The 12,062-nt window shown below is 52.4% G+C and overlaps 1 annotated feature.

The window, feature by feature from the left end:
- Positions 11,518–11,567: a silencer, noted in NCBI's record as "silent region_7829". NCBI's record gives its function as "represses an Ori minimal core promoter by ATAC-STARR-seq in GM12878 lymphoblastoid cells {active_cell/tissue: GM12878}" and the evidence as "EXISTENCE:reporter gene assay evidence [ECO:0000049][PMID:35858748]".

Here is a 12,062-nt window from a genome sequence, read left to right as displayed (position 1 = left end):
CGGACACGTGTCATTTTTCTCGATTGACAGGGCCAACCCGGATAATCCAGGCTGCTCTCCCCAACTCAAAGTCACATCTGTAATGTCCTTCGTGCCATGAAAGGTCACATAGTCACAGGTTGTTTCCTTGAACTCTCTAAGAGTCTCTGTAATAGGATGACCCTTCTACAAAACCCACTATCAGTTACAGTGGTGGCTAATGTTTATCCAGGGCTTCCTCTCCCCCAGCTGCCGCTCCATGACCCATGTGTTCTACCAGCATCCCCACAAGTTAAATCCTATCCTCATGTTCTGTCCACAGACGGGAAAACGAGGCCTGGGGTGGACACGCCGAATGACTAGTTCACGTTCACATGGCAGCAAAGCGCAAGCTCTCGGCCACATCAATATCCTGCCACCCTGGTGTCAGAGGCAAGAATGGCCTCACCTGGCTGAATCAAAACAGATCCAAGGGTTGAACGTAAAGCTTCTTAGCAACAGGAGCTGTCATCCATTGCTCCTGGATGAGGATGCAAGCTGGCACCCCCACTTTAAAAGACAGCCCGTCAGTTTCTTGCAAAACTAAACACACTCTTCCCATTCGATCCAGCAACCGTGCTCTCAAGTGTTTACCCGAATGAGTTGAAAGCGTATGTCCACACTAAAACCTGCACACAGATGTTTACGGCAGCTTTATTCATGATTGCCAAGTGGCGCAGAGCTTCCTGAGGTGCCACCAGTGAGCTTTGCGATGCCATGTGAGCTGCTGAATTAAGACAAAGTCCAGGAAGGAAAGACCAAGCTCGTCACCGTAGTGGCCCGGCCTGTTTCTCACTGCCCTCGTGGCACGGCGTCCTCCACCCCTCACCATTCCCCTCACACCATGTGCTCTCTGACCTTGGTCCTTCTCACTCTGTCATGCCCACTCCCTCCCTGTCATCTTAGCTCCTCTCAGTTCTTTGAGTCCTGGATCAAACCCTACCTGCCCTCCATCCAAATCCCTCTGTGGCCCCGAGACTGGATAAGGAGCCCTCCCCTGTTTCCTTTTCCTAGACCATGAGCTGGGGAGGGCAAATGCAGGAGCACCCGCTGTGGGCCCCACGTCCCAGCTCTGAACCTGGGTTCCCTGACCCTTTACTGGGTGGCCTGGACACTCAGCATTCCCATATGGGTTCCCAGCCGCAGTCTCTCCTTTCTCTTGCCCTTCAGCCACACACCGCCCGGACATCTCCAGAACACACCCCTGACCCTCTAGCCCCTGCCTTGATGTAGTCATAGGATTTATTGAGAATTCATTGAGAGCCACGTGCGAGTCAGGTGCAGGCACTCACCCAAGAGCCCCACACAAGCACGTGGAGCCACAGAAACTACCAACATCATCCCTGTTTTGCAAATAAGGAAACTGAGGCTCCGGAAAGCCAGGTGACCCATACATGCTCAGCTCACTAGAAAGTGTCAGAGCCTAAGGTCACCCACGTCAGCCTGGTGCCCTCTCATGTCTTACATCTCTGATGGCGTCCCATTGCCGAAGAATAAACCTAACACACAATCCGGCATTCAAGGCCATTCCCCACTGTGGCTCTTACCCAACCTCACCATCACACCCCTCACCGTGCCTGCACAGCACAGCCACCTCCCAGACACAGCATGCCCCGTGGGCCTCGGAGGTCATGCTTGCCTTCCCATCTGACACTCTTTTTTTTTTTTTTTTTTTTTACCTCAAGGCCAAGTTTAAACATGTTTCTGTGATGCATTCCCTCTGGGAAGAGTACGGCTCTGGGATCAGCACTGCCCAGCCCCCTAAACAAGGCTCCCTCATGTAGGGAGCACAGATGCAGCTAACTGTGACTGCAGCTGGATTAGGAGGGGATGGCAGGAACCTCGGTCCAGGCTGGGCAGGGATGGGCCTATGTGGTGAGGAGCCTGGGGCTGGTGTTAGAAACCGCCAGGAAGACCCGGGCGAGCAGCAGGAATCAGCACCAGGCTGAGTGATGGCCGGACTCCCTCATGGAATCCCTTGGAGTCCCATGTGGGACCCGCTGTCATGTCTGAGACTTAGACCTTCTCCTGGTTTCCACCATAGCTTCTATTTACCAAGAGGACGCACACAGAGTAGGCAGGCGGATATTCAAAATACTTAGCTGCAGGCAGCAGCCACTCGAGCAGATGCCAGCTCTGCAGCACGGTGTGGGCCCCCTTTCTGATCCCCGGGAACACCCATGTGTCCACCAGGGAAGGATGAAATGCAGTGGAGAAGCTGGACAGCCTAAAGCGGCACTTCACCAAGAAACAGGCAAGGAGCCCAACCCCACCGGTCATCGGAAAAGTGCAAATTTAAACCAAAATGAGCACCGCTCCGCCCACCAGGATGGCTAAAACATAAACGACTGAAAGTACTGAGTGTTAGTGAGGATACGGAGCCACGGAAACCCTCGTGCTGCCCATTACCGTGTGCACTAGGGCGACCCGTGGGAGACCGGCCCTCTCGATTGACAGGGCCAACCCGGATAATCCAGGCTGCTCTCCCCAACTCAGGATCACATCTGTAATGTCCTTCGTGCCATGAAAGGTCACTTAGTCACAGGTTGTTTCCTTAAACTCTCTAAGAGTATCTGGAAGAGGATGACCTTTCTACGAAACCCAGGTTGTCAGCAGGTCAGCAGGTCGTCACGCTGAATGTGCATGCACCTGTGACTCAGAAAGCCCGCTCTGAAAGAGGTACACCTGTGCACGACCACTCACTGCAGGTCCCACAGTGACAGCCAAAATCTGGAAACCAAGCAGGTGCCCCTCCATGGGAGAGTGGGTCAGTGATAGCACAGTCATACCATAGAATGCAGCGGGGACAGTGAAGGAGCGACTCCAGCTACACGCAGCAGTTGGGGGCTCACCCCGCCTAGGGCTGAGCAAAAGAAATCAGACACATAGGAGCGTGTACTCTCTACGCCTGTTGATATAACACTCAAGATAAGTGTTTAGGGACTAGTTGGCAGTAAAAGTGTAGAGAAAAGCAGGGTGCTTACCCTAGAAGTCAAGATTGGGCTGATGTCAGCAGTCAGGCTGCCTTCCCACCAGCGTCTCCTCTTGGCAGGGGAGAAGTTACGCGTGTTAGGCGCCAGCCCGGCCAAGCGGAAGGTGGGGAGGAGGTGATTCCCCCAGGCCCATTCTGCAGCAGCTGAGGCTCTTTAGCAAGAAAACATCACATTGCGTCTTCCCACCCCATTTGCCAGGTGAGGAAACTGAGGCTCAAGGAGCTGAAGGGACTTGCCTGAAACGGCACAGACACAGCAAAGGCGGGCAGAGCCCCCCCACACACATACCCACTGCCTGCCTCCCGCCTTCCGGTGCTGTTGCCCTTCCCGCTCCCGGCTGGGGCAGGGGGCAGCCATCCCAGAGGGCAGTTGCTGTTGACCTCTAGGCCCTACAGGTTTTCCTGCCTTAGAGGAAGAGAAAGGATCTCAGCTGACATCAGAATCAGGAAATGAAAGGAACCCTTGAAGGAACGACCTTAGGTTTCAGAAAGGCCCAAGTCCCCACCTTCACCCGGGCCTTCGGAAGAGCAGGCTCGCCCTGAGCGAAGCTGCTCCTTGGCTGAGTCTCGTGGCCTTGCCCGGGCTGAGCAGGCACAGCTGTCTGGAATCACTGTTTTCCTAGTGGCTGCACAAAAGCCCCCATTAGCATCTGGAGACCTTCAGCGTAGCCCCATCTGCCACCCTGGGGGCACTGAACACCCCCATCTCCCACCTACCCCAAACCAGTCTCCAAGCCCCAGCCCGAGGTGGTCACCAGCATCCTCCTTATCCATCAGGGACGAGCTGACCCCCCCCACTCTATGGAGCCCTCGTCCCCATCCTCTGAGCCCCTAAAGCCCGTGTCAGGTCCAGCACAGGTCACTGCCTGCCTTAGAAGTGGGAACCGTGTTGACCAGCTCCGGTGGGCAGCCAGCACACGCCCATGTGTCAAGAACCATTTGTGAAACCCGCACTACGTGTTGGAGATGTGACAGTGAGCGAGACAGACACAGGCCCTCCCTCCACAAAGACAGACGGCCACTCCGGCCTTCCTCTAACCCAGCGCCTCTGACATTCGGGGTTGGATCCTTCTAGCTGGGCAGGTGAAGGCCAACCTTTACACTATGGGGTGTCGAGCGGCGTCCCTGGCCTTGACCCGCTAGATGCCAGTAGCACCTGCTTTCCATCATGGCAACCAAAAATGTCTCCAGACATGGCCAGATGTCCCAAAGGCCAAACCACCCCTGGTTGAGAACCACCCACCGGTGGACACAGCTGCACACTTTCCTTAGTGAGGGCAGTAATTAAATGTATAATTACACCTGCTCAACACTTACCACACGCTGCCTCCTCTGGCCCTGGGAGGAAGGAGCTCCTTTACAGATGAGGGAAGGGCCCGGTAGTGCCCTGGGATCTGCTCTGGGACTTTCCCTTGCTCACATTCTAAGGGGCAGAGTGAGGGTCCCAGCTTCAGCCTGCTGCCCCGCTTCCTGGTGGCGATGCGTGGAGAGGTTTGGAAAAGACAGGAGTGTTGCTGACATGTCCAGGCTTTGGGGACCCTCCTTGCCACAAAAATTGAGAAATTCATGAGAGAAGCTTCCTCTGCAAAGGACAGGCCGTAAAAATCAGCGCCTCGTGCAGCACAGAAGAGGCGCACAAAGGCCCTTCAGAGACCAGAATAGATGACAGGTCGTGTGTCAATCAAGGGGGACCCGGGCACAGAAGCAAAGTAGGGACACTGATTCGAGTACTGGCCCTGCCGCCACGAGCACCACCCAGGGCGTCCCGGCTGTGGACAGGGGACTTCCTTGGCATGACCGTCCCGAGAGCGAGTAAGAGCAGCTCAGGACAGGAAGTGCCATGGGGTGCTGGTGGCACCTGCCTTTGACTCTGGAACTGACCTCCCCCTACTGATTGTGTGCCTAATCTCATCAAAGTTATTTAGCCTCCCTGTGCCTCCGCTTTCCCATCTGCAAAATGGAGAGAACGAGAATGTTGCCAGGCTAAGAGGACGTCAGGATAATAGAATGCGTGCCGGGTAGGTCCCAGACAGCCATTGGCACACTCAACACAGGTTAATTCAAGGAAGGGATTTGCAAAGGGACTAATCTCATGGGTGTGGGTGGGTCTCACACAGAGGTCACAGACTTTCTCTGGAAAGCTGGAAAGAGGCAGATAGTGAATATTTTCGGCCTGGGGGGCCGCACGGCCTCTGCTGCAGTCGCTGAATTCTGTCGTTGCAGCTCTGTGGCCAGATTCGGTCTGCAAGCCAGATTTGCTGACACCTGGTCTAAGGGAACCAAAGGAGACAGAGCAGGAACGAGGATAAGCTGTCACTAAAGGCAGGGGACCAGGGGGGCCAGGAGAGAGCATGGCTGCTGGAGCCCAGGAGGAGGGCGGTATGGGGGCCGGTGCCTCAGGAGGAACAACGTTGACTCAGGGAGAAAACGGGAGTAGGCACTCTGACCTGTCTCCTCCCTCCCTCTGGTCTCCCGCTGGGGCACCTGTTGGGGAAGCTGCTTATGGTCCCTGGAAGAGATCAGTCTTCCTGGGAGAGCAGGTGGATTCTGGGACAATAGGAAGGTGTTCAGCAAAACAAGCTTAGAGCGTGGTCTGCTCAGGTAGGCGCTCCAGCACTGTCGTAAGCTACGCTGGTGAAGAGGGCCTTCGAGAAATCTCTTCGCTCCGTCTGATCGACTCCCCACCCACTGGGCAGCCTCCCACATTGCTGCCCATGTCACTGGGCCACAGGGAGAGAGGCTGACTCAAACACTCAGGTATGCTGGCAGTTGAACGAAGGTGGTGGCGTGGCTTAAGCATCCCTCTGTCACTGAGCTGGGGAGACCATCCTTAGGCAGAGAGCCCCTCCCCGTGGGCCAACCAATCCCGGGCAGCGGGGACAACCAATAGGGCTGAGGACCAAGGCCAGGGTCCAGAGGGCCAGCTGGCTTTCACCACGCCTGAGTCAGCGTGTACAATTGAATGCCTTGCCACCGAAAGTGCACCTGGGAGCAGCCCTGAGCCAGGAGCGAGGAGCCTCTACAAAGAGGGAGTACAAGCCAACAACCCCCAAACAGCCGCAGTTGTTGAGAACCAACACTCCTCCCGCAGGGCTATGCCGAGTTCTCCCATCATCACGGTCAGGAGAATCTTCCCAACAGCTAACACACACCCAGGGTTTCTAGTGTGTGGGGCTCTTGTCCAAGCATGTCAAACGAAATCATGATTTCATTTAATCCTCACCAACACCCCAGGAGGTCAGGACAATGAATCCCCACAACATCCATGCGATGTGGGAAGAATCCATCATGTATATAGTCAAGGACACTGAAATTCAAAGAGAAGAAGTCATTTTCCAAGGACACAACTCATCAGTAAGGAGTCGGGATCGGAACCCAGATCTAGCTGACCTCTCAGCCCGTGTGCACCATTTGCATCAACCCACACTGGACCTGGGTAGGAATTCAGGCACGTTCCCCAAACTGTCTCCCCCTTCTCCCCCTCCTCTCCAAACACCACCCTCAGCTCCCCCACCCCGTCCTGCCACCCAGCAGTTCCACCCACAGGGATCCCTGCCTCTGCCCTGCAGCCCTATCGGGCTCAGTGATGCAATAGCCCCAGCCAGCCTTGCAGTTGAAATGTTCTGAAATGTACAGTAGACCGGGCCATCTGCTTCCTCCAAACATCACCTTCTGCCTCTGCTGAGAGCCGGGGCAAACGTGCAAGGACGCAAAAGCAACAGTCACTTTATTTCTGGGCTCAGGATTTCGAACTGGCCTGGATTGCTCAATGTCTCCTTTCAGGCACGGAGAGCAGAGAAGCCAGAAGGAAGGCTCGGCAGATGCTACAGGAAGGGAAATGCTGAATGGGGAGATCACATCTGGAGCTACTCAAATGCACTGTGATTTTTCTCTCCAGAAGCTGGTCAAGAAAACAGCCAGGGCTCTTCAGGGAAGATGAGCATTAATAAAAACTTAAAAATTAAAAAAAAACAAAAAACAGCCAGAGTCTCTTCTGAGAGGTTTTTGTTTTCAGCTTTCCTTTTTATTTCTAACTCTCTCTGCCCCTTACTATTTAGAAAAAAGGAGAAGAAGATGCGTGTAACTCATGTAAAGCCAGGAGCCATGGGGCTCAGTCTCAGAGGAATGGCCTCTTGAAAAAGCATAGCTGAGCAAACAAATGTAACCTCAGATTAACTCAGACCCTCCATCTGCACGAGTTGAGACCCAGGAGGTGAATGCACACGGAGAAGCCACCACATCTGTAAACAGCCTTTCCCCCTCATCCGCACCTCCTTCGGGCCAGCCTGGTACTGCCCGGACGCTCCATGCGAGCACCTTCTCATCTTTCTCACCTTTCTCACCTTTCTCTGCCTCCTTCCCTTTCTTGATCCTAGAGTTCAACTTAGCCTCTCCCCAGCAGGAAGCAACCCCCCCAGGAAGGGAGGAGCAGGCTCACAATCATGTTCTCCTTGGAAGACAGGGGAGGGGAGATTCTCAGTGATTTCCGCTGTAAGACTTTTGTTCGTTCATTTAACCTCACAGAAGCCCCAAGATCTCGCTCTTATGTTTTCAGTTGTTTATCAGGAGAAGAGGATGGGAAGGGAAGTCCCATTTCTGCAGCACCTCTTCCGTGCCAGGCAGCTTTGGGGATGCTGTTTCTGTAGCTCTTCCTGCCCCTCCTGGAGCCCCATGTCATTCACGTCTGTGTGCTCTAGTGGCCCCTCCTGTTCACGGCCACCTTTACCACCACAGCCCGACCCCACCGCATCCACTCACCGCCGCTCGCTCTGCAAGCGTGAACTGAGCGCCACCGAACCCCAGGCACTGGGCCAGGGGCTGGATAGAGCTGGGACGTGGCCATCCTTGCCCTTGCACAAACGCAGAGAGCGAATAAGTCATTCCATTGTAATTATTTAATAACTGCATGATAAATATGTATACCACTATGATAAGTTATCTAATAATTGTATAGTTATACCATCGTACCTTCACTTCCATAATTCATATAACTATTTGTGAAATTAAATAACTACATGTATAATTAAAGATAGCCAAACAACTCTGGCACTATATAATTCTATAGTTAATTTAGTATCAATTATTTTATAATTACTAATTATTAAATAATTACCTATAGTTATTGTTGACACTATAGTTCGTTGACATAAATTATTGTAATTATTTATACTTATAACTATTTAATAATAAATAAACAAGAAAGAAAGAAAGGGAGGGAGGCATTAATGATATGTGCAAATCCACTTTCTTAGTATGTACTGCGTGCCAGGCACTGTTCTAAGCCCCTCATACTTATTAAGTCATTTAATCCTCCCAATAGGTAACATTATTGCCCCTTTTTTACAGATGAAGAAACTGAGGAACAGAAAGTTTAAGTGACGCACACAGCTAATGATCCCTGGGCTGGAACACAAACCCTGGGTCATCTGTGGTTCCGGCCACTACACAAATTTTCCTTCAAAGTGCTGACAAACCCTCTCCGAAGCAAACACAACCCCTTACCCGCCCCACCCCACCTGCCCCATTCCAGTTTATGCAGCTGTGACTCCCCCTGCCAGCACCTGCAGCAGTGTCTGAGACTTCAGTCGCCTGAGCCCACCCCTGCACATAAGGCAAGAGGAAAGTGCCAAGTAATTAACAACCCGGGGCTGGCTCTGCAGGGCTTGGGCCTCAGCATTCCTCAGAGATCCCAGGCCTCCAGTAGCACAGGGTCACCATTAAAGCCACAGGTCCCCTTCCCCTCCCAGCACTTCTGAGATCACCTCCCATACAGGCCGCTTACCTTGAATCCTTTTGTTTCTGTCTCTGCTCCTGGGGGAATCCAAACCCGACTCCACCCACTTTCCAATAACGACAGTTCACAGTGATAAACTGCGAGTCTCTGCCAAGCGCTGTTCTGGGTTGCCTTGATGTGTTAGCACACTCAAGCCTCACAACAAGTGGGGAAACTGAGGCTTGGGGTGTCTGAATAACCCAGCCTCTTTCACTCGGCTACAGGTGGCGGAACTGGAGGTTCAAACTGGGCATTCCTGGCCCCACAAAAACCATAACCCATGGGGGGCTCTTTCGTTATCTTTCTTGCTTTTATGAAGAAACTTTGGCCAAGCCTTAGAGGTGGGGACGAGAAGGCGAGGAAAGGTGACCTGTGTGCCCTGAGGGATGAGGAATGGGCGGAGAAGGGGAAACTTCGCACTAGGCTCCAGCCAGAGCACCCCGTTCACCGGAACTCAAAAGCACACTGTGCTGCACGCTGGCCCTGGCAGGGAGGGGTCTTTGTAACCCAGTAACGTGTCAGAGCCCTGCTCTGAGAGGTCATCAAAATGGACAAGAAAAAGGCTCCATTATGAAGTAGGCAGAGTCCACTGCCATACTCCCAAGACAAAGTGAGGAAAAGGCCCATCTGCCTGGGACTCAAGGAATAGGGTCAGAAAGGAATCAGGATGCCCAAGGAGAGGTCAGGGGGATAAAAGGCAGGTGGGATTGCAGCAAAGGAGAGGCTTCGGGGCTCCCGTGGCAGGTTGAAAGCATGGCTGCAAATTCCTGGACACTTCTTCCTCAAGAGGTGGTGTTTCTGTCCATTCCTCTTGAACCTAGGAGGGCTTGTTTGTCCAGTTGAGTGATGGCTGGGTCACAAACAGCCATTCAGCTTCCCCTGTGTCCACGGGACTGCCCTGACGCTGCCATATTGTGAGGAAGCCCAAACTCCATAGAGAGGCCAAAGTCAATATTCTCATCGGTATCCCAACTGTGCCCAGCCTCACCTCCTTCCAGCCCAAGCACCAGACATGTGAATGAAAAAGCTTCCAGGTGGTTCTATCTGCAGGACTTCAAGTCACTCTCAGCTGTTCCCAGCTAACATTCCAGACATTGCAGAGCAGAGAAAAGCCAACACCACTGTACCCTGTCTAAATTTTGACCCACAAAATAAAGCGTTTTTTATACCACTAAGTTTAGGAATAGTTAGTTACATATAAAGAGGAGACTGAAGCCATCCCCATCCCTGGCAGACTCCATCCAGACTGAAAGGTAGCCCAAAGAAAATAGGAAAGAAATAATGTACACACTCTTCTCAACTCCTAAGATGTTCCAGTCGGATTGTGATAAAAGACTGAACGCTTGTGGGCACCTCTCATCCACAGACACGCTGCAAGGCAAAACGTCAAGTCAAATAAGTTTGGGAAATGCTGGTTTAAATGGGCTTCTTACCATGAGCTAGGCCTTTTAACAGATTAATGAACGGTGTGCTTGAAGAGAAAGCCTGAGATCAGGTGTGCCCTGGGGCCAGGATATTTGTCATTCTCCTCCTACTTGTAGTAAAAGCAGCCAGATTTTCCACTGAGAAACTGCCACACCCCACTCTCAGCCCACTGGGTTGTTAAAATTACAGTCATTAATTATAGATTATTCTTTAGAATTTCTAAACATTTCCGAGTCATTGGGTTGCAAAACTTTCTATTATGGAGAGTCTGAATCATGCACAGGAGTCATTTCTTCCTGATTCCCACAGCTGCTTCTTTATGGAGAGAAAGTGTCCCTGTGGCAGGCATGGGTGGCTGCCCGGTGAAGCCCTTTCAGGAAGATTTTCCCAGGATTTCTAGGACCCACCGGATCCTGAGGATGCTTGGACCCAGGGGTCATCATCTCCAGCCTTCTGGACATTACGAGGGCAAGCAAAAATGTTGTGTCCCAGATGGATTTTGCACATTTTTTCTGAGACAGAGTCTCACTCTGTCACCCAGGCTGGAGTGCAGTGGTGTGATCTCGGCTCACTGCAACCTCCACCCCACTGGGTTCAAGTGATTCTTGTCTCAACCTCCCAAGTAGCTGGGATTACAGGTGCCTGCCACCACACCTGGCTAATTTTTGTGTTTTGTTTTTGTTTTTGTTTTTAGTAGAGACAGAGCTTCATCATGTTGGCCAGGCTGGTTTCGAACTCCAGACCTCAAGTGACCCACCTGTCTTGGCCTCCCAAAGTGGGATTTTGCAAAAGTTAATGAACTAAGTGGCAATCACTCAGAAAGGAATTGTTGAAATACCTTAACTTCTTAAAACATTTTTAAACTACCAAGAGTGGAGATGGCTTGTTTTTCAGGATGTCCCGTCAGCCCATCCCCACCAGCTTCCCTCCAGGGCCCAGAGCTAACTGGCCAGTGTGGGGTCAGCATCTCAAAAGTCAGTTCACATCCAGGGCCCTCACAGCATTCTCTAGAAACCCGACTTCTTAAAGAAGCATCCTGTTCCCAAATTTCCTCCTCTGCAAATGAAAACACTCCCCTCTCCCGCCTCTCCCCGAGCTTGCTGCAAGAAGTTGAGTAGGAAGGATTTGTCGACCGTCTGCACGAGAGCGTTGAACTCTGGGGAGACAACAGACGATATCAACTTTCCACATTTGGCCTTGAATCCACAGGATGGAGAAGAGCTTGCTTGTAAACAAAATTCCTACTTGCAGCGTGCGGACATTAGTGTGACTCATGGCAAAGATGCCTAAGACAGTGAGCGACGCACCCAGCTGCTGACCTCTTGCGTGGGGTGTTAGGAAGCCCACCAGCTCAAGGATGGCAGCGAGATCTGCTCATGAAGCCTCTCAGGCGAAGCTGTCCTCCTGGGACATAGATGGCTCTCAGTCAGCCACGCATGAGCCTGTGCCTCAGTTTCCTCATCTGTAAGCTAGAAATGAAGAACAGGCCCAGTCTCACTGGGCTCGTATGAGGGCAGAGGAGAGAACAGACATGGCCTTGCGGATGAAGCTTGCTGGGGAACTTCTCTCCACCTGGGTTGGCCAGCCCTGCACCTCCCAGAATTGATGGGTTTTGTTGTGTTGATGGATGGGAATGTCCTACTAGGCTGGAAGTCATCTCTGTGACTGCCAACCTGGGTCCCTCATGTCCTTGCTGTATCCTGAGGGCCTAGCACAGCGAGATGTGCGTAAATAGGACACACACTCCAGCCACGTGTGGCTGACCCAACCAGGGACGCCTCGTACAAATCACCCCAGCTGCATCCAGGAGGATGAAATCAGCACAAGACCCCACTTCCTCCACACCCTTCCGCA

This window comes from Homo sapiens, chromosome 16 (assembly GCF_000001405.40).
Source record: "Homo sapiens chromosome 16, GRCh38.p14 Primary Assembly".
NCBI classification, from domain to species: domain Eukaryota; kingdom Metazoa; phylum Chordata; class Mammalia; order Primates; family Hominidae; genus Homo; species Homo sapiens.
The sequence above is the reverse complement of the archived record's forward strand: the minus strand, read 5'-3'. Positions and strand labels throughout refer to the sequence as shown.